The following is a 21794-nucleotide window of genomic DNA, read 5'->3' as shown; positions in this document are numbered from 1 at the left end:
CCCTGCCCGGCTGTCACTTGGGAAGTGTGCTGGGGACCAAGCCAAGGAGAGGCTGCCTTTCTGCAGAGAAAGCGTAACCCAGGATGCAGAGTCTCTGTGTGACTCAGCTCCAAATCTACCCCTTCCATCAGGCACAGGCTCAGCAGCATGGGAGCAGCACCTGGCCCAGCCATTGAGTGAGGGCACATGGAGCCCTCCCCTCTGCAGAGGATGCTTTTCTTTTCTTTCTATCTGCTAACACCAAGTCCTCCCAGTGCAGCAGGATGGAGTGCCGAGTAGGTGCCAGCTGCATTGGCCTGTCATGAAAGCTCTCCAGGCGAACAAACTGACCCCAGCGTCCTCTCTTGGGGGCAGTATTGTAGTTGCAGCTCAGTTAGGTCGGGGCAGGAAGTCAGAACTCAAGACCCGAGGGAGAACCAAGGAGGCCCCAGAAGCGGCAGATTATTGATTTTGGCCTTTGGTTTTCCACCATGCCATTCTTAAGAATGAAATGCAAGAGGATGGGAGGCCATCTACTCACAGATCTGCCCCATTTTCAAGCACGGGCGGGAGTTGGGGTGGGAGATGGGCGCCGGCCCTGGGTGAGGCTGTCCTGTTTGGATAGCAGCAGAGCAGCATGGCCAGGTAGAATGCTCCCTGCTGGGCCACCTGGACACCCACCCTCATGTCTAGTACAACTGGAGAGTCTGGAGGGCAAACTTCTCAGCTCTCTGCAATGGCTGGGCCTTGGATTAGCTTGGTCTCTGACTCTGAGGTTGCACAGCTCTATCGAATACCAGCTTCATCATTTAATTACTCCTTCGTTCAATAGACCATCATGCACCAGGAGCTGGGGTGGTGGCTGGGTAGTGGTGATTTGACCGACGTGCCTCTGCTGGCACTGAGGTCACTGTCTTTGGTAGCACAGCCTCTGTCCTCTGCCCACTTCTTGGCCTGGACTTCTCTATTTCCCTCGGAGCTCATGCCAGCTCTGGCAGACTTGCCTTGTTGTACAGGGGCAGAGCGAGTGCATTGGAGGGGTGAGAGAGTGGGCTGGAAGGACAAAGAGCTCCTGTGGGATGAAGGGCAGCCAACCTAAGGGCTGGAGGTGTGGGGTCAAGGTCAGATGCAGCTCTGATTCATAGCTTCTGACTTTTCAAAGCTCTTTCATTGATATCACCTTCCATTATTCTAACAATGTTTCTGTGGGGGTAAATCGAGACATTATCTTCCTCCTTGGGGAGGAGAAAACAAAAACCAGCCGATGAGAAAAAACAAAAATCAACCAATGACAAAACAGATGTCTGGGGCAGCTTGGTGGTGTGGAGTGCCCGGTGCACGAGTGGCAGGCCCAGAGGCAGAGCCTTCAGCGCCACAGCCCTCTGCCTTCTCGCCAGAGGCACGAGGAAAGGGGGCTCCTCGGGGACACATTTGGCCCTCAGACACCTGCATCCTCTCCCCATCCTTTGCAGGAGAATCAGTTTTCTTTTTCTTTCTATAACCTTCCAGATCAGTGTTTATCCCTGGTCTTCCAAAATATATCTCTGATTTGCACGGATACAACTCTGCAGCCATCAGATCTGCAGCCTCGTGTCTCTGGAGCTCCCAGAACTTTTCTATCAGTCTCTGTTATCTCTTTGGACCTCTTATGAGTTGGGTGTTCAACTTCCTGGATTGATAATCTGTATGTCTATTTTTATTACCTTTTCTCTTCTTTATTGAGATGAAATTCACATACCATAGGTTAACTATATTCAAGTGAGCAATTCAGCAGCATTGAGCGCAATTACCATGTTGCTCAACCACCACCTCCATCTACTTCCAAAACATGTTCCTCACTCTGAAAAAAAACTCCTTACTGGTTAATCAGTTTCTCCCCAGTTTCCCCTCCCCTCAGCCCCTGGCAATACCAACCTGCTTTCTGTCTCTATGCATTTACCTATTCTGCACATTTCAGGTAAATGAACCACACAATAGGTGACCTTTTGTGTCTGGCTTTTCTAACTTAAGATAATGTCTTCGGGGTTCATCTGCACAGTACCATATATCAGCAGTTCGTCCCTTTCATCGCAAGATAATGTTCCGTCGCTTGGATAGCCTACTTGGTGCTTATTCACCCATCCATTGATGCTCATGTACATTACGTCCACATTTTGGTGATTATGAATAGTGTTGCTGTGAACATTTGTTTAAAAGTATTGATCTGAATATCCGTTTTCAATTCTTTTGGGTATAGATCTAGGAGTGGAATCACTGAGTCTCACATTAAGTCTATGTTTGACTTTTTGACTGTTTTCTAGAGTAGTTGAACCATTTTACATTCAGCCATCATTTTCACTGTACTCTCAATACTTGTTATTTTCCTTTATTTTCTGAAATTGTTCCTTTCTAGTGAGTTTAATGTGTTCTCTGTGGTTTGGTTTTGCATTTCCCTAGCAACTAGTGATTTTGAGCACCTTTTCACATGCCTGTTCGCCGTTTGTGTATCTTCTTTGGCAAAATGATGATTTGAGTCATTTGCTCATTTTCAAATTCGGTGGTTTGTCATTTTCTTGTTGAGTTGTAAAGAATTCTTTGCATATTCTGGATACCAGACCAGGCCTTTATCAGATACATAATTTGCAAATATTTTCTCCCATTCTGAAGGTTGTTTTTTCCTTTCTTGATGGTGTTCTTTAATGCACAAGTTTTTAATTTTGATGAGATGCAGTTTATTAATTTTTTCTTTTGTTGCTCATGCATTTGGTGTTATATCTAAGAATCTATTGCCAAATCCAAGATTATGTCTCTTTCTCCTTAAAATCTTTCTGACATTCTTCTGTGTTTTGGGACATTTACTTGATACTGTCTTTCAAACATCTATTTTTTTCTAATTAAAATATATCCATATGCATTTATATTCTCGATGCATCTTGTTATCTAATTATTTTAAAATTATACCCACATCTATATTATCTATATTTTTATCTATATGTACATCTATATGTCTCTATGTTTTGAGATAGGGTCTCGCTCTGTCACCCAGGCTGGAGTGTGGTGGCATCATCATGGCCCACTGCAGCCTCAACCTCCCCAGGCTCAGGTGATCCTCCCACCTCAGCCTGCCGTAATCTCTACAGTAATCCCAGCTAACCTGTAAATATAGTAGGATGTATATTATGTGTATGTATACATGACTTTCTAGAGTTTATTTGTGTTTTGTAATAGTGACTTTGGTGCCATTTTGTTCTTGCCTCATGGCTAAAGGACCTTCTCAGTCCCTTTGAGGACACTGTGTTGATCCTGCTAAGAGGGCCCACAGCCTCCTCTGTGAGGCGAGAGGCTGATGGACACTTGTGCACCTGTTGCTGCCATTTCCTTGTTTGATGCTGAGGCTTGCTCGGTGCCTGGAGCTCCTGGGCTTCCCGTTCACAACTTAGAATCAGCGAGTAGCAGGAGAGTTTCCATCGTGACCGATGTGTACACGCAGAGCTGCTGGAGACGCATTTTCTACCTGAGGTTGGATGTGCCAGGAGCCAACTACTTGGTAGTGGGATCCCTCGCTGACTGGTATGGAGGGCTTTGTTCCAGCTGCCTTGACTCTTGCCAAATATCGCATGCAGTTTCAAATTTATTTGCTGATTTGTTTCTCTTTTGTTTGATTGCTCTGTGCCTGGGAAGGGCAGATTGACAAGCCCATTTATCTCCTCCAGCGATAGTTGTTCCCTCATTTATGTATACATTTAGTCAGCCATCCAATATTTATTAAACGTCTATTTTGTATCAATCACACAGTTGATTTAAAGTAGATTTAAAGATTAAAAGACATGACTTCTGTTTTCAGAGAGCTTGCGGATAAGAAACGGGTCATTTAAATGTGATACGCTAGAATAGAAATATGGGCCACGTTTTTTGAAACATGGAAGGACAATGAAGTCATCGCTTAGTGCACACTCCAAGTGTGGGCTTCGCAAGGCAAGGGGGTGTTGGAGTGCTCTACTGAGAAGAGAAGGGCTTTGCTGGGCAAAGAGGAGAGCAGCTTCCAAGAAATAGACACTTCCAGGTGGAGACACAGTGACAGAGAATATGGTGGGTTCTAGGGCAACCCCCAAGGTTGGCCCTGCGGAAACAAGGGCTGGTCACTGAGATGGGGAAGTGAGCAGTCAGAGGAGGTGAGTCGAGTCCCACTGCTATCAATGCCTTTGCAAGTGCATGGCAGACACGATGCTCAGCATGCCACACCCACCTCCAAGGAGCCTGTCTCCCAAGAAGGAGGCAGACACACGCGCCATAATGTTAGCATCACGTGTAAGAAGAAGAGCAATGCACAGAGTAGGAGACAGAACAGGGGTCCCCCCTCCCCACCATGGGAGTGTGGACAGTGTCCAGAGAGCCTGGGCCCTGAGCTCAGATGAGGGGGGAGTCAGTGGCGGGGCATGGGTGTAGGGTATTCTAGAGAGAGCGGGTGCATAAAACTGTATTCTGAGCTTGTTCTGGGAGCGGTCTTAGGTAGTAGAGAATTCCTGAAAACTGAGATATTTGGGAGGAAGAACTGGGATTAGATTATATCCTACAGAGGGTGAGGGGCCACTGAAATACGAGAGAAGCCCCAGGTCAGATCTGCAAATACAAGTTCTGGTGGATGGACCAGAAATTCTGATTCTAGTTGACAAAGGCTGGCCCATTTGATAGGTAGCTCAATAGAAATGGGAAAAGGTAAATCTCAGACAAGAACCTTCAGTTGAGTATTTCCCCAACAAAGGGTCTCTTTGTATCAGTTGCTTCATTGTAAGTATAGGATTGATTATTTTAAAAGTTTTAATTTATTTAAAAGCAAAAACAAAGAAATAGTCATTAAAAATGCAAGTTCCTTAGAAAATGTCTGCTATGCTTTAAGTCAGAGAAGCCCCTATGGTGGGTAGTGCCAAATAGAACATAGTTATGGTGAGTCTCCCCCTCCCCGTCGTTTGAAAAATGTACCTGCCCTTGTCATAAAAATGCATTTTGTGTGTATTCGGGGCTGGCCTTGGCAGAGGAATTATTCTTTCAAGTGATGGGTGGTTTGCTTTGATGCCAACCCAAATTGGATTGTGCAGCCTGACGTTACAAATCAATGCCATAAGCACTGCACTGTTTTTATCCTTTAGCGCACAACCAGCAATCCCAAGCCTGGATTTGTTAAAGGTTATGTTTGCCTTAAACTAATTAAAGCCATTTGTATCAAATGACTGGAATAACTTTCCTTTAGAAATAAAGAAGATAACTGAAAGAAGTTAGTTAGAAAAAAAGAGTTAATTTTATCAACTGAGATGAGAACTGCACTATTAATTTTATTACTTCTAAATGTGAAAATAAATCAGTTAGGTGAGCACTGCATTTTCACATAGATTAGTCTGCAAAAAGTCAGAGCCGACTTGATATGAGCTTTTTGAAGACTAACAGGCCCGCAAATGCTAAAGCAGGGTGTATATAAATCACAGGCTACCATAACCACACGGCAGAGGGATCCATACAGTTCTTCTGACGTTATCTTTTGTTTTGGTCATGCAGAGTTCCGAGAAGCATGAGTTCACTTTTGTGCAAGGGCAGGTGCCCTAAGTATCTACTCATTTAAATCATGCAGATGGGTCAGATTAGGATGGATTTATCACAAATCCTGATTTCTATCAAAGAGGATGTTTTAAATAAATGTTTATTTCTTTTAAATTAGTTGCTTACTAATGCCCTCCCGGTGCTAGCTCCCCAGCTAGGGACAGGGGCACAAAGACCCCGGCCCTGCCCTGAGGACCTCCCAGTCTTTGGTGTAACTTTAATGTGCGTTTTTTCCTCCCTTTCACCCAGTGACAATGCAAAATGCATTTTTACGGAGGCAAGAGAACACTCTTCAGGTCTGTTTCCCATGCCCACTCACACGGCAGACTCAAGGCTTCTAAAGGGACCTGCATATTTGATATACACATGCACACACATGCTCATACACACACGTCCTGTGTGCACACACACCCATGCACACACCCATGCTATGTGCACACATATGCATGCACACACACAGATGCTGTGTACACACACACATGCACAGAGTGCTATGTACACACACATACACACGGTGTGCTATGTGCACACACACAGATACATTGCTGTTGAGATTGGTTTTGATTTCTGTTTGGTGATTTGAAGCTGCATCTTAACACGAGCAATGCTGCCTTGGGAGGGATGAATGGTTGTTCCCAATGTATTTGCAAAGGAGGTTTGCAAAGGTTTCCCTTAAAATGTTCAGAATAGAATAGTGGCTACCACGAGTTTTTGGAATGCCCCGCTGGATGAACAAGTGCATTTTGCAAAGATACGTGGACCCAGAGGAGCTGAGTGTGCTCAGGAGGCGAGGGGGGACACGGAGAGCCTCTCCCTGCTCCTGGCCCACCTGGCCCACTGCAGGTCTCCTCCGGGCCAGGGTTTTCCCTGCTTCCTTGGCCACAGGCAGACGCTGGCAGCAGATGAGGCTGGCTCAGCAGGCTCTTGTCCAAACAATTGTTAGAATCTACTTCCATGAGCCCTGCCAGGGGCACACCTGTGCATGGCACTGAATGTTTAGCGTCTCTGTCCATAGCCTGAATCTTCCATATGGTATTACTTTTCCCATTCAGTTGATGGAGAAATTGAATCTCAGAGAAGGTAGGTGATGCTCCCCCAACTTTGTGGCTAGGAAGTAGCTGAGCTGAGTGCTGTGCCCAGGCCCGCCCAATCGCAGACCTCCGCCTCTGTGCTGAGCACAGACACCCCCGGGCCCCTGGTGTTGCTGGTGGTGCTGTCTCATCCTAGCCTGATTTCCATCCTCCCAGGCCAGGTGAAGGGAGAGAGGTGGGCCTTAGCTGAGCCTGGCCCCACTCTCTCTTTCTGGCCCCAGTGGCCCTCAGGCTCCAGGCCTTGGCTCCACTGTGGGGAGGTCCCAGCTCTGGCTGGAGAACTGGAGGCTGTGATTCAACCACGTAGATCAGGGAGCAGCGCGGAGGTCTGGACTCTGGGGTTATGGTCTGTGGCGGGCAGTGGCAGGGGTTGTGCCCTTCCCTGCCTGAGCCTTAAAACTCCCTGGTCATGAGAATGGAGGCAGCAGGGGCTTCTCCTGAAGAGCAGCATCAAACCCAGACACCAGGGATGCGACTTCCCTTCAAGGTGATAGACGTCGCTAATAATAGGATGCAGTCAGCGATGGGAAGCGTGGGGATTCACACGTCTCCCTTTTATATTATAATCACTTTAATACTGAACCCTTTTTTTTTACAAAAACGTTCTTATTTGATAAAGTTTAATGATGTAATTTAGAATGTGAATATACTTAATCATGCATTTATCTTCCATATAGAACTGAAGGTTATATTAAAAGGTATTTTGAGGTTTTAAAATCTGAAGTTCTGGATGCGTAGGCTGAGATAACGAATGTGTGAAATACAATATTTTAACTTTACGGCTCCAACACTTCATTTTAACATGGTCAAAATACACCTATAGGAATAGTACCGGCCCCCCTTGAAATTCTCTTTCTTCTACACAATCGTATCAGCAGTAGATGGTAGCCTAAAATAAATGTTAATGTGAAACAATATTAGCAGTGGATAGTACCCGAAAATGAATGTGAACGTAAAAATACAATGTCCTCATTTTTATTACGTTAATGAAACAGAATGTAATATCCTATATATGTTGTATATGACATTAGCAATGCAATACATTGGTGTCCTTAGAGTTTGTAATTTGCAGAGCTCCCTGCAATGCCCAGTGGCAGCCGTCTCTACGGCTGGGCCTGAGCTGGCCTCGCTCCTGCGTTGCCTGTCTTCTGTCACTCGCCCCTGCCTGTGAGCCAGGCCACTGTGGTCTTAGCTCTGGGACTTTGCATCCCTATCTGCCATTCCCGTATCATATAGATTCTTCTTTATCCCATCCCTACCCATCCTTGGGGTCTCACTTCAATGTCACCATCCCCTAGCCTCTCTCCCCTCTGAGCTGTGTGCTGGAGTCCCTTGTCGAGCAGGTTGGTCACTACCTGCCTGCCAGACCAGGAAGACCATGTCTGTCTTTCTCCCGACCTCCCTCAGGTCTCAGGCCATGCTCAGAGCAGGGCAATGCTTGGCACATATTTTTAACTAAAGCATGAAGAAATCATTGCCAGCTCTTTGTCTGGAAGTCAACTGCTGTCACCAGCAGCAGAATGGAGAATTCCAGGACTCCAGACCTGCTGGTGGCCACTTCTCTCCACCCAGAAGTGGGTGCGGGGAATCAGGGGGTGCCTGGGCCTTAACTTCGCAGAGCCTACTACCCCTCACTATTTGCAAGGGGACAAAACCGTCAGCGACGCATGCAGCTGCTTCTGTCATGGTGAAGTGTAGTTTAAGTTTAAAGCTCCACTTCTTGGCTCTGGAGAGCAATGTTTTCATTGACCTCAAAACAAAACCACAAGGGCCAGAAGAATTAGTGGAAGCCCCTCCCCGCCAGCCCTCCATGGTGGTCGTGTCAGTAGGAATGGCTTTGTGTGAACTTTGCAGGGTCACACGGCTGGGCTGGCTCAGTCCCCCTGGCTGCTGTCCAGGTTGGAAAAGGTGGTGCCCGAGGGTGGACCGAGGGCTACTCCGGTGATCACCGAGGGAGGGCAGGGCTGTGTTCTGCAGACCAGCCTCACGTGGGATGTGGTGCCCTGCGGGGCACATTCTTCCTACTTCTATTTAGGGCATTCTTGGATTGAAAGAAAAGTTTAAAAGGCCGCTGAATGGTGCTGAGTTTTGGTGTTTCTATATGTATAACTCAAGCTGAGAAGCTCCATGGTCCTGACTTGGGCGTGGCCTGGCCTCTCGCTGTGACCTGGGAAACACACAGGTGCTGCCCACGTGGCTGCGTGGGGGCTGCCCCCGCTGCTCTGCCTCAGCCGGCTCCTGTTAGTTTGCTGGGGTGGGCAGGAAGTGCTGCTCACCTCCTGATCCGGGCAGCCTGATCTGCAGCCCGTGGAGAGAGCCGGGCAGGTGTGTTCACAGAAGCCCCGGCTTCCACCAGCATGGTGCCGACGCGGGCTCAGCCTCCCCTGCTGTCAGAGGGGCTGGAGGCTGGGCTGGTGCCATCATGAGACGGAACCCTCCGTGATGACACGTAGGAGTGTGTCCCTGAGGGACCGCACGAGCACTGATGAGCATACATGAGTAGTGAGCGGGGCTCTGCTGGAACCGCTTTGCCTTCTCATTAAACAATTCATTTGCAGCTCTGCGGAGTGTACAGTGGAGTCCCATCTGTTGATTCTGTTGTTTAACTTGATCAAAGAGAGGCTCCTCAAGTGCGGAGAGCCAGATCTTCATCCTGGAGCGCATAGAACGGGCAGATGCCTGGGGAGAAGGTCCCGAGGGATCCCGGAGACACCTGGGGCAGGGCGAGCGATGGCCCTGAACTTAGTGCTTGCTGGGAACCCACAGGCGAGACCACATGTCTCCCAGGTGCTGGGGAGACCTCAGGTCTGGGAGAGGCAATGAAGGTCTCCACACCCAGTTTTCAAATTAGGGCCTGTGCCTCTTCCCAGGCCCTGAGGACAGACAGACAGACAGATGCATGCCCTTGAGAGGTATGTCTCTTGACCTGCATGGCTAGGGGGCCTCACCTTTTTTGGTGAGACTTGAAAGCACATGCCGCCATCTGGTAGACCTTTCAAGCTGTTTGAAGACCACTCAGGGCATGAGATACTCGTTACCCCATTTGTCACAGCTCAGCTGAGAGGAACAAGAGACATTCAGATACAAACCTGCCTCGTCTTGTTTCAAAAGTACGTCCAGGGCCCCGCGCTAGTCGGCTTCCTTGTTTCCAGGGAAGTCCCCTCCAAGCACCTGGCAGGGTCACCGCTGTCACTGTCTTGTGCTAACCCTGCAATTCTAGTAAAGGCAAAGCTGGCGACCTCCCCGGGCAAAGGCTCAGGGCCTCACGTGGTGCCTCCTGCAGAGCGCTCAGCAGGGAGGCAGGGTCCTCAGGGGGCACAGGTGGGACCTTGGCTGACGCCCAGTGCGCAGGCTCCCCCCACTCCTGAGAAAGCCCCGGGAGTAAAGGGAGGGAGAGCCTGTGTGACTGTCCCGGAATGTGGAGGCTGCTTCCATCAAAATGGCAACATGCCAGGGTCTGTTTCTAGAGAAAAAGTAAAGTGGAAACAGACTTGAAACTACAGCAGGGACTCGAGAGGCTGACGGCTCCTGTGTGCAGTGCGAGCGTCATGCGAGATCGAGACGGGAAGAAGCTGGATTGTGGATCTAGAACAGTCAGAGGTCAGGGGAGACATGGGGGGCATCGATCCAGAGTCACGTGCCAGGAGCCTCCCCTTCAGCCTCCTGCCGTGACCTTAGCTGACATCTGCCCAGAGCCTGCTGCTCTGTGCCGGACTCGGAAGAGGGTGTTTGGCTGCCTCTGTGAGGGGCTGTCCAGATGGGGGTCCCAGCACACACGCTGCCCTCTGACATGTGCTGGGCGTGTTAACGCCCGTAAAAGGGGAGACAGCGTGGTAGCCAAGGGGACTTACCACTGCAGATGGGCATGCTGCACTTCGGGACACTGCAATGGCCCTGTGCTGGGAGGAGCAGTGCAGGGCACACACAGTTCTCATCAGAGAAGCAACTTGTTTTGATGTCACCTCTAGAAAAAGTCACAATACTGACATTTTGCTTGTTCACGTTTACGTACATGTATCAGCTTTTCTTCCATTCTTTTCTGGCACACGGAGGGCACAGAGCAGCAGACCTCAGTAGTGAGCTTGTGAGCAATGCCTTTATCCGCTGTGACAGGTGGCCGAAAAGCCATCATCAGGCAAAAGCTTTGCTTTGTGTCTGCGTGGGCATGTGTGTGCCTGTGTGTGTGTAGTGTACATGTGTGTGTCTTCATATATGTGTGCTTGTGTCTGCATGTGTCTTTGTGTGTGCATGTCTGTGTGTGTCCATGTGTCTCTGTGTGTACACGTGTCTGTGTGTGTGCATATCTCTGTGTGTACACGTGTCTGTGTGTGCATGTGTCTGTGAGTACGTGTGTGTGTATGTGTCTGTGTGTGTATACGTCTGTGTGTGTGCATGTGTCTGTATACACGTATCTGTGTGTGCATGTGTCTGTGTGTACACCTGTCTTGGTGTGTGTTCATGTGTCTCTGTGTGTACACGTGTCTTGGTGTGTGTTCACGTGTCTGTGTGCATGTATCTTGGTGTGTGAATGTGTCTGTGTGTGCATGTGTTTTGGTGTGTGTGCACGTGTCTCTGTGTGTTCCTATGTGCCTGTGTGTACACGTGTCTGTGTGTGCATGTGTCTCTGTGTATGTACGTGTATCTCTGTGTGTCCATGTGTCTTGGTGTATGTGTTTTGGTGTGTGTGCACGTGCCTCTTTGTATGTGCCTATCTCTGTGGGTGTACACGTGTCTGTGTGTGCATGTTTCTTGGTGTGTGTACATGTATCTCTGTGTGTACATGTGTCTTGGTGTATGTGCACATGTCATGGTGTGTGCACGTGTCTCTGTGTGTGTGCATGTGTTTTGGTGTGTGTGCACGTGCCTCTTTGTATGTGCCTATCTCTGTGGGTGTACACGTGTTTGTGTGTGCATGTGTCTCTGTGTGTGCATGTTTCTTGGTGTGTGTACACGTGTCTGTGTGTGCATGTTTCTTGGTGTGTGTACACGTATCTCTGTGTGTACATGTGTCTTGGTGTATGTGCACATGTCATGGTGTGTGTGCATGTGTTTTGGTGTGTGTGCATGTGCCTCTTTGTATGTGCCTATCTCTGTGGGTGTACACGTGTCTCTGTGTGCATGTGTCTCTGTGTGTGCATGTTTCTTGGTGTGTGTACACGTGTCTGTGTGTGCATCCGTCTCTGTGTGTGTGCACGGGTATCTGTGTGTGCAGCATTGGCCTCTCGGATGGGCACCAGAGGCCCTGGTCCAGCTCAGGCACCCAAAGTAACAGCAGTCTTGAGCCCAGCTGTGACTTTCGTGACAACCCATTTGGAGGGACACCCACTGCTGGGTGCTTGCTCTAGCACCCGGAGGGCTCGACGAAGCGACAGACTGAAGCTCTCCGTCTGTCGGCAGCTGTATTTTTCGCACTGCCTTGAAAGGTGGGCGTTGCTTAAATAACTCAGCCTGGTACTGTGAAATGGATTTAAGCTTTGAAAAAAAGTTTCAGGAAAATGTTTTAAATGATGGCTACAAGTTCACATGAATCTCTACTGCCTTCCTCCCCGCTTCCTGTCTGCACCTCTATCTCAATCCCTGTCTTCGTTTCTGTCTCTGTCCCAACCTCCACCTTCTCCTCCTCCTCCATCTAGCCATCTCTTCTTTTCTTGGTCCAAGGTTGGGGTAAAGTCCTACTTGGCTCACTATGTACCTGACACAAGAGTGCTTGGAATTTTTATTTCTTTTCTTATAGAAATTGTCTGGTTTAATATGTCTCTTTTGCTTTTAACATCCCTACTTTGGATAAAGATGAGAACTTTGAGCGTAATTTGTGAATTGCGTGGGACTCACCATCAGCTCATTCATTTACTCATTAAACACACGTGTATTGAGGTCAGAGGTGGGCAGGGAACTGGCTCTGTGGCTCCCTCCTGGGGCAGAGCTGGTGCTCGGGTGTCAGCTTCCTCTGGACCCAGTGGGACAAGCCTGCCCCTGCGGTGGGCTGCAGTGCCCAGGTGACTTGGGAATAGCTCTCTTGGAGGGACAGAGCATTGAAGATGGTTTTCCCCATAGGCCCTGATATGCCACCCTGCAGGCATGCCTCCGTGCAAGCGTGCCGCACCGGGTGAGGCAGGCACTGGGCTCTCCTCACTGCCTTTGCTGACAACCAGGTTGCTGGTGCCGTCATCTCCACTCCTTTTACCCTCGGATCCCAAAGCTCACTCTGCTGGGTGCAGCACTTCCTGCATCTCCAACCTGGAGCTGGCCTCTGTCAGAAGCCTGCCTTCATCAGAGAAGCAGAGTGCCCCAGGCCCTGGATCACGCTGGTGAAAATGTCCCACCACCTCCGCAGGCCATTCTGTCTAGCCGTGACACCAGATTCTCTTGCTGGTCAAACAGATCTGCTGGTCAGACAGACCCACAGAGAAAATCTGGACTCTGGCTGGGGATGGAGGACAGAGACCAATTGCGGGGGTGGGGTCCCATTATTGGGGTGGGTTCAGGCTGCAGGGTTGAGGTCCTATTAGAGGGGTGGGTTCAGGTAACAGGGTGAGTTCAGGTTGCAGGGGTGGAGTCCCATGATGAGGCAAATTCTCATGATCGGGCTGAGTCCTGTTAAAAGGTGGAGTTGCCTCTCGGTACTGAGACCCCTTCTTGTGGAGGAAGCCACGCTCTGGTTCTCTGGTCTGAGCATTTTACAACCCTTTGTTCTTGCAAGGGGCAATTCAGGATGTTAAAAATGGGTGGAAAATTAATTCTCTGCAGCTTGTCAACTCTGAAATCACTACCCATGAAAAATTTAGGAGGACTCAGAAATGATTTGCTGTTTATATGAAAATTATCTCCATTTATAGTGGAGTTCAACGAGGTGCTGTGGGATCTCAGGAACCAGGCTTTGCTGGGGAACGGGCGGGTGAGAGGGAGAGGCGGGCGGAGCTGCAGCGGTGGGCCCTGCCTGCAGCCCAGCCCCGACCAGGGGACCTCTGGAGCCCTGGCTGACCTGAGCCCTCTCCAACCGCACAGCAGCCCAGCCAGCTGGCGTCCTCCTGGCCTACTGAGCAGGGCCCAGGAAGACCTGCGCCAGCTTCAAGGAGGCTCCCAGGGAAACGGCCCCACTGTGGGGTTTCAGCCTGTGCGGCCGGGCGTGATGCTGGGCTTGTCCTGTGTGCTGGGGTGTGGTGCTCTGTCAGAGGTGCCACCACCCTCCTGCCCCAGTGCTGGCAGCCCCCAGTGCTGTCCTCCTGAGGCGGCAGCAGGCATCTGACTGTGGCCTCATATTCCAGGCAGGTCAGCAGGTCTGTGCAGCAGACACTAAGGGGAGCAAGGCCACCACCTGTACATCCTGTGGTGAGATGTGGGGATGGACCAGAGGACCCTGGCTCTTCCGGACCCCTAGGGAGCACCTGCCACTCCGACTCCATCCCCTCCGGTAGCAGTCAAAAGCCCTGCTGGGGGAGGGGCTTCTTGAGGGGTTTGGTCCCACACCCTCCTCCCTCCTTCCCAGTCCTGAGCTGCCAGGGGGAGCTCTGGACAGGGGGAGACTGTCCAGGTAGCTGCACAGTCTCCCCTTTCACCAGCTCCTCACCAGCGGGATTTGGCTTTCCTGACATCATCTGGAGGACACTGTGCCAGGTTCTGTGTAGAGGGGCAGGCCCTGGAGAAGGGCATTTAGGGAGGCACCTCCAGGCCGTGCCTCTCTGCTCCCAGCTGCCACCAACCTTCCCTGCACTACATGGCACCCCTTCCATTCAAGAGCCCCTCAGGCCCCTGGGCTTCTCTTGTTTTTAACCCCTGAAATCTATGTCTCTCCTGCTTCCGCCTTGCGCCGGGGCTGGCAACTCTTGTGAATCTGACACTCAGCATGAAGATGGCACGCAGGCACCTTCCCAGGGGCAGGGTTCCCTTAGATACTTTGGTTCTCATTGAAGAGGCTGACTCGGAAAATCAATGCAGTCACCACGCCTCATTCAGGACCATATACAACGGGCCCTGACTGTGTTATTTTTATTACCTTAGCCATAAATTGCATTTTCCCCTTATTTTATTATCAAATTTTTCAAAGGAGCTCAGTACCGGTTAAATTGACGGATAATTTGTGCCCTCCCTACTGGGTTACTTTATAATCTAGAAAATGCTCACCTAGTCTGCTTTTCTCAGTTGTTAAATGAGATCAGTGTGCCTACTTTATCTCAGCATCTTGGAAATTATTTCAGAAGGGTGCTTCCAGGGAGGCAGTAGGCAAGATTAAAATATCATTCAGGCCGGGTGGGGTGGCTCACACCTGTAATCCCAGCACTTTGGGAGGCTGAGGCGGGTGGATCACCTGAGGTCAGGAGTTCGAGACCAGCCTTGCCAACATGGTGAAACCCCATCTCTACTAAAAATACAAAAATTAGCTGGGCGTGGTGGCGGGCCCCTGTAATCTCAGCTACTCGGGAGGCCGAGGCAAGATAATCAATTGAACCCAGGAGGCAGAAGTTGCAGTGAGCCAAGATCTTGCCATTGTACTCCAAGCCTGGATGACAAGAGCAAAACTCCATCTCAAAAAAAAAAAAAAAAAATCATTGATTATTCTCTCTACAACAATTCTGCAAGTGGATGAGACCTTATATGCTCTTGGATGTGAAACCATTCATATATGGAAATGGGGTCACTAGATTGTGACAAACACAGAAACAGGGCTCCAGTGACTCCCGGTTGGCTCCTGCCACCCTACCACCATCATGGCTGGCACAGGCCTGGGTGTTCTCCCCAAGAATGGAGGCGACTGGACAGGCGTGCATGTCCAACCAAGCAAGGCTCGCGTGAGCTGGTCTCAGGGTCTGCTCCCAGCTGCGAGCGGAGCCAGCGCGCGTGGAGCACGCGTGATATGGATGCTCCTCATGAACCCTTTTCATAATGGCTGTAGTCTACAACAATCGAGAACTCCAAGCCCTCCCAGTTTCCTCCAGCCTCAGGGGTGGTGGAGACCATCTGTGAGTCAACGCCCTCCTCAGCCTAAGAGATTTCCTGCCTAGTTCCAAGATCATCAGAGGAGGTTGGTTTCAAATGCATGAGCGGTTGCTCTCGGCTTTCAGAATAGAAAGGTGAAATTCTCTCTCCCTGTTCCTTGGGGCCCATTCACTTCCCTGGGTTCCCCTCCTCCCCCGTGGGGTCCATTCACTTCCCCGGGTTCCCCTCCTCCCCCGTGGGGTCCATTCACTTCCCCGGGTTCCCCTCCTCCCCGGGCAGGAAACCAGAAGACGCATGTTCTTACAGCCTCATGGTGAGGGCTGCAACTCCAGTTCCTTTGGGATTTACTCCACACGCTTCCAGATATCATGTTGACACTTGGAATCCCAGAACTGGAAGAGAATCAAGACAGTTTCTTTTATGGATGAGGAAACTGAGGTCAAAGGAGGTCAATATTTATGGAATTAAAATTGGACTGACTTTCAGAATTACTTTTTGCATTGGGAGATACTGATATATTTCTAATAACTTTTTGATGAGTTAGACACTTTTGACTTCCTAGAGTAGTTCTTTATTTTAATAATTTTTAAAGAAACAAACTCTTTTGAATGTTAAAATAAATTCCTGGGCCAGGCGCAGTGGCTCACGCCTGTAATCCCAGCACTTTGGGAGGCCGAGGCAGGAGGATCACCTGAGGTCAGGAGTTCGACACCAGCCTGGCCAACATGGTGAAACCCTATCTCTACTAAAAATACAAAAATGAGCCAGGTGTGGTGGCGCATGCCTGTAATCTCAGCTGCTCGGGAGGCTGAGACGGGAGAATCACTTGAAGGACAGGAGAATCACTTGAAGGTTGCAGTGAACCCACTCCAGCCTGGATGACAGAGTGAGACCCTGTCTCTAAATAAATAAATAAATAAATTCCTGATACTTCATTCAATGTAAGAAGCATTTGCTGGTCTTAGGGTGTGTGATGACTACATGGCATATGCCATCAACTGGACCCGCATCCTGGTGCTGCCTTTGAGCTGAGGCCTGACCCCAGGTGATGATGATACCTTTGAGTCTTCACCTTCCAGGCACTCTAGGAGAACAGGTGCCTCGGGCCTGGATTAATGACTGAGAAGCGCAATACGGAAAAGCTTCCAGGACCCTGACCCCGGGTCAGGCACAAGCAAACCCACCTCCCCCTTCTTTCAGGGAAACAGGGCGAATTGATTGCTGAGTTCCAAGAGTTTCTGAAGCTAAGACTTGCCCAGGAGATAGGACAGTTTTTCTTTCCACACTTTTCTTTCTTTTTTTCTTTCTTCTTTTTTTTGGTGTGTGTTTTTGTTTTTGTTTTTGTTTTTGTTTGAGATGGAGCCTCGCTCTGTCACCCAGGCTGGAATGCAGTGGCGTGATCTCAGCTCACTGCAACCTCCGCCTCCCAGGTTCAAGCAATTCTCTGCTTCAGCTTCCTGAGTAGCTGGGATTACAGGCATACACCACCATGCCCAGCTAATTTTTGTATTTTTAGTAGAGACAGGGTTTCACCATCTTGGCCAGGCTGGTCTTGAACTCTTGACCTCGTGATCCGCCCACCTCGGCCTCCCAAAGTGCTGGGATTATAGGTGTGAGCCACGGCGCCCGGCCGCCACACTTTTCTTAAAGAGATATTTTGTTGCCCGGTTTGACTTCAAGAGGCTGGTGTTGAATACTTTTCCCCTGGATGCCCTCCCCAGTCCCTGCGGCCCTTTGAGAGAGGAGGAGAGGAGTGTCTAATTGCTCACAGTACTTCCTCTCACTTCTTCCCCACCAGCAAGGACGGTCGTGCTGGACTCTATAAGAGCAGTGAATAAATGCTTGTCAGCTGACTGGCGTGGGAGTTTTTAGCACAGGCTTTTTTGCTTCCTTCCAGACTTCATGCGACCTTCTCAGTTCTCTTTGTCTCTCATCACTGCCAGGAGGAAAATTACATTGAAGGGCACTGGGGAGCTGGGGAGCACTTCACATCTCAGAGCTGGGTTTGATCAATAGAGGCATTGCCCAGAAAGGTATTACCGCCGTGCCTCTCTCGGAGGGCGGAAATACATTGCATGCTCCCCGAAGTACTTTAGCGCCCATGGTCTTACACTTGTTGATTTTCCTCCATAAACTAGTTCTGTCTGCCACTCAAGGGAGGAGTTTATGACAACATCATCAGAGTTTGTGGAGAGGCCCAAAGCAAAGAGTACTTAAGCATGTCAGAGTGGACCCTGGAAGTGGCCCCCGGAGAGCCGTAGAATAAGCACTTCCACGGTGGAATGGCTGACACGCAGACCCAATTATGTGTGTGAGCCCCTGGTGCCACCCACACACCTCCAAGGTACCTGCAAAATCAATGACTGTGAAAGAGTGCCGGTTATTAAGAAAACTATTTAGGGCAAGGCACAAACATTTGTCGCAGGTATTCCGGGGTGTGTGTCTGTGACTGGGGGCTTTAAAATGATCATCAACAATATCTCCTCTAAGAAGCACTCATGAGGAACAATGTAAATCCGTTTATCTCAAAAGCCAGACTTTAAGATCTGATTTTTTACAAGATCAACTGTTTTCAATATGAAAAATATCTTAATATGTTTTCTCAAGGTAATGGGGAGTAAACTAGGCAATGCTGTCATTTGAGAACAGTATTATGGGCTTACGGCCTCCTCGCAGGCTGCCAGTGTTCCTAACACAGTTTTTCACAATGTGTATTTATTTACATGCTCGTAGAAGATACAGACGTGCATTTCTGCTACTGAGATTGCTGTGTGTTTTATAGGCACCTGCCATATTGAAAACATAGAGTGTGTGGCATATAATTAAAACACAACCTCAGCTTTCCGTGCACGACCCCTCCAGACTTCCTCCCTGGGACTTGCTCTTTGCTGTACTTTAGATAAAATTTAAACCAATTCACTTTTGGCTCATTCTTAGGTAGTAAAAAGCCATCCACTCATATCCAGTCAAAAAATAGGTCTCAGAGCAGTCGTGAAATATGTGGAGTGCTGGGTCATTGAATCACCAAGTTTAACTTCCCTCGTCCCATCGCTTGGGCCTGCTTTGCGTTGGGTCTGTGAGGGCAGGGGAACGGTGGGCTCAGCTTCCTTTGTGTGCCCCCTTGTGCCTCAGTCAGGGGGCTGCTTCTGGTGTCTGCAGGATGGAGGCAGAGGGACAGAGCCCTGGGTTTTTTAATGAGGGTTCCCCAGGGCATGGCTGTGTCCCCATCTGCTTGCCCCTTTCTGTGGCATAGAGGTAGTGACCAGCTAATCCCATCTTGTAGATGAGGAGGCAGAGATGGGGTGGGGACAGGACGACCCTGCAGGATCAGGACAGAGACCCGGTGTCCAGGCTGCTTGATGACCGCTGCACCTTGACAAGAATGGGCTCTGGGAGTAATTCTTAACAGAGTTCCGGAAATCTTAATGCAATCCAGGGACTCTGCTTCTCTTCCTGAGTGACAGTAAAATATTTCCACTGTCCTGAAATCTTTTCTTGACTCAGGCTTGGTTACCTGGTTCAGTGAAAAGCCGATAGTCCCTTCCCCAAGGCCAACCTTGAAATAGACCTGTGCACGCAGCTGTCAGGCCTGAGGGCGTCTCTTGGGGTGGTCATGGCTGTATGGGAGCCCTGTGGTCGGCCTTGGCAGGCCTCTTGTGAAGGAAGAGTGTGCAGTGTAGACTCTGTGTGGACACCCTCGTAAAGTGGCAATGACGGAGGAGGCCGGCGCCCTCAGGGATCCCTGCTCAGCCTATTTGCCAGCAGCCGGCACTAAGGGCAGACCAGCCACCCAGCCCTGGGGAGAGCCTGCCCGGCAGGGCGCTGTGCAGAGTGAAAGAGGTGGACAGGCTGGGCATTCCTCCACCCGCTCACTGGATGGAGGGGAGTCAGGGGTGGAATGCTGTGTTTCTGCCTCATCCGAACTCAGCACCTCCGGGGATGGGGCCTCCGGCTCACGTCTGGGCTGCCTTAGTGTTGCTGCTCCGCACCTGAAATAAATTTGCTGATTGACCCAACTCAAATGAGGGGCTTCCTCCCAAGGGTGCTGGGGAGGGATGCCTTGCAGACCACCTGGCTCTGCAGCCGCAAGCCAGACAGGTGCCAATGCCCACGGAGGACATGACAGCTGGCCCCATGCAGAGCTATGCAAATCTCCTTCCCGGAGCTGCAGAGGGGCCCCAGTTTGCAGTGGGGCAAGGAAGAAAGGCTAGAAGGTGGGGTGTGCCAGTGGGACCCCCAGTCTTGCCTTTCACCCCCTTCAAGCACAGACGTGTAGCTTGAAGGGGCCAGAGGACATCCTTTCTATGTGTGTGTGTGCATATACGCACCTGTGTGTTGTGTGCACACACGTATAAAGTGATTTACGTTAATTCCCCATCCTTCCGTCTACCAGGAAGGAGCATACCCAGGCCTCCCTGACTGCACTGCCCAGTCTTGAGCTCTGGATCAAGCTAAACAAATCTCTGCTTCCCAAGGGTCCTGCCCTGCACACCCATGAGACCTGGCCAGGGCTTTCCTTTGAGAACTTATCTATTGTTTTAGGTTGGTGTGTGGTTAGATGGTTTGGGTCCTTCTTTTTATTCTTGGTATTAAAACAGAGCTCAACCTTGCTTTACTGTTTTTCCCTGAATCTACTTGCAAAATTTTGAGAGTTAGATAGACATTTTTGGAGAAGACAAAAAAGTAACAATCTTTGGGAATTTGCAGAATCCCTTCCTCCCCTGAAACAAGCACCTTTCCAAGTGCTGTGGGTCCGGCCCCCTGGAAAAACCAGGGCCCACCATGGCGGCCAGTAAGCCACGGTCACTGGCGGTGTGGCCTGCACATAGCCCCTCCTGTCCCCTTGGCAGGGCCAGGACCAAGGGCAGCCCATCATGGCCACCAGCTGGCAGAACCTCAGCAAGGCTGGTTCTGTTGTCCTACACTGGCCCTTTGTCCTTCTTGGGAAGGTCCTGTGTCCTATTCATCTGTGACCCACGTGGCCCAGTTCACAAGGCTTGGCCAACAGTGTTTTAGATGGCACCCAGCCTGGGCATAGATGGAGTCCAGGGCGCAGGTTGGCATCACTGGAGGAGGCTCCTGACTGCCCAGCGCACTGGGGGCCCCACAATGCGAGAGAGCAGCCCCAAGACATCCACACACCTGGGCACAGCACTCCCACCCTGGGCCCACTGGGCTGCGAGTGTGAGGGTTGTCACAGCCTCACCCTGGTGATTGTCACCAGATGGACAACAGCCAAGTCTCGGGCCTCCCACTTTTGGGCTTGTTTCCTGCTTGTCCAAGAGGCTGAGTCCAGGGTGGAGTGAACACTGCCTGCACACACAGGCACAGGAGAGGGATGCCGGGAGGTCGGGCTGGGGAGTCCAGAGGTGCATGTGTGTGCCCAGGCCTCTGGCCCCTGCAAACCCATTGTCAGGTGCATCCTCGCTTTGGGATGAGAACTTTGTCACTAGACTTCAACCCAAGGACAGGGCAATGCCACCTTTCTGTGGAATGCACAGTGTCTACTGACCAATTCTAATCTTCAGGGCCACTTTTTGTCTTTGATTGCTTAGGTTTTCCAAACTACTGTGACAAATGAAATGTTAATGACAACTGCTTTGGCCCAACAGATACAAGGACAGAGCGGGGCCGAGTGGCCCGCCCTCCTGCCCTGATGCTGCGGGCCCAGAAGAGCCGGGATGGAGACAAAGAAGACAAGGTCAGTTTCGGGGCTCGTGTGTGTGTTAAAGACACAAAACCCTGGGTGTGGAGGACCAGGGCCAGGACACCCTCACGCTTGTTTGCTGTATGGTGTTTGTGAAATGACTGCCATCTGCTGTGTGAAGCAGCAGGACCTGGCACTGAAGGGGCCAGGCGGGGCCTAGAGAGCAGGGACACAGCCCTTGCTGGTCCTGCCAGATCTGGGTCTGAAGCTCCCTGGGGGACTCTGTTGGGAAGGGATTTGGCTTCCATTTGAACTTTGTCCATTTTCAGAAGGAAGAGAAGACACACAAGGTAGTCAAACTCAGACACCACTTAGGCAAGAGGAAAGAAGAGCCAACACACTCATTCTAATTTCAGGTCTTTCTCTTCACTGGCTTGCCAAATGGCGTTTTAAAGACTGGCCAAGACAGTGCATTTGAAGCATTTCGTGTTTTCAATAGTACAGTCCTTCCTCTCAATAACCCAAGGGAGTCCTTTTTATTACTGCATTTCAAAATCACAAATCACGCTTAA

General features: G+C 50.1%; 1 protein-coding gene across 2 annotated transcripts in view, besides 4 other annotated features; it reads left to right on the top strand.

Annotated features, from left to right (window-relative positions):
* Positions 1 to 21794, top strand: part of TCERG1L (transcription elongation regulator 1 like) — a 219331-nt gene that overhangs the window by 123649 nt on the left and 73888 nt on the right. For both annotated transcript variants that reach the window (NM_174937.4, XM_047424966.1), the window contains exon 5: positions 21188 to 21276. In NM_174937.4, coding sequence (NP_777597.2) covers positions 21188 to 21276 — 89 coding nt within the window. The remainder of the gene's footprint in view (positions 1 to 21187; positions 21277 to 21794) is intronic.
* Positions 6316 to 6836: an enhancer, noted in NCBI's record as "H3K4me1 hESC enhancer chr10:132979500-132980020 (GRCh37/hg19 assembly coordinates)". NCBI's record gives its function as "activates a minimal SCP1, AML or CMV promoter by ChIP-STARR-seq in naive H9 embryonic stem cells {active_cell/tissue: H9 hESC(naive)}" and the evidence as "EXISTENCE:reporter gene assay evidence [ECO:0000049][PMID:30033119]".
* Positions 8272 to 8818: an enhancer, noted in NCBI's record as "H3K4me1 hESC enhancer chr10:132977518-132978064 (GRCh37/hg19 assembly coordinates)". NCBI's record gives its function as "activates a minimal SCP1, AML or CMV promoter by ChIP-STARR-seq in primed H9 embryonic stem cells {active_cell/tissue: H9 hESC(primed)}" and the evidence as "EXISTENCE:reporter gene assay evidence [ECO:0000049][PMID:30033119]".
* Positions 8819 to 9366: an enhancer, noted in NCBI's record as "H3K4me1 hESC enhancer chr10:132976970-132977517 (GRCh37/hg19 assembly coordinates)". NCBI's record gives its function as "activates a minimal SCP1, AML or CMV promoter by ChIP-STARR-seq in primed H9 embryonic stem cells {active_cell/tissue: H9 hESC(primed)}" and the evidence as "EXISTENCE:reporter gene assay evidence [ECO:0000049][PMID:30033119]".
* Positions 20267 to 20767: an enhancer, noted in NCBI's record as "H3K4me1 hESC enhancer chr10:132965569-132966069 (GRCh37/hg19 assembly coordinates)". NCBI's record gives its function as "activates a minimal SCP1, AML or CMV promoter by ChIP-STARR-seq in primed H9 embryonic stem cells {active_cell/tissue: H9 hESC(primed)}" and the evidence as "EXISTENCE:reporter gene assay evidence [ECO:0000049][PMID:30033119]".

Source organism: Homo sapiens, chromosome 10 (genome assembly GCF_000001405.40).
Source record: "Homo sapiens chromosome 10, GRCh38.p14 Primary Assembly".
NCBI lineage: Eukaryota > Metazoa > Chordata > Mammalia > Primates > Hominidae > Homo > Homo sapiens.
This window is presented reverse-complemented; position numbering and strand designations above follow the sequence as displayed.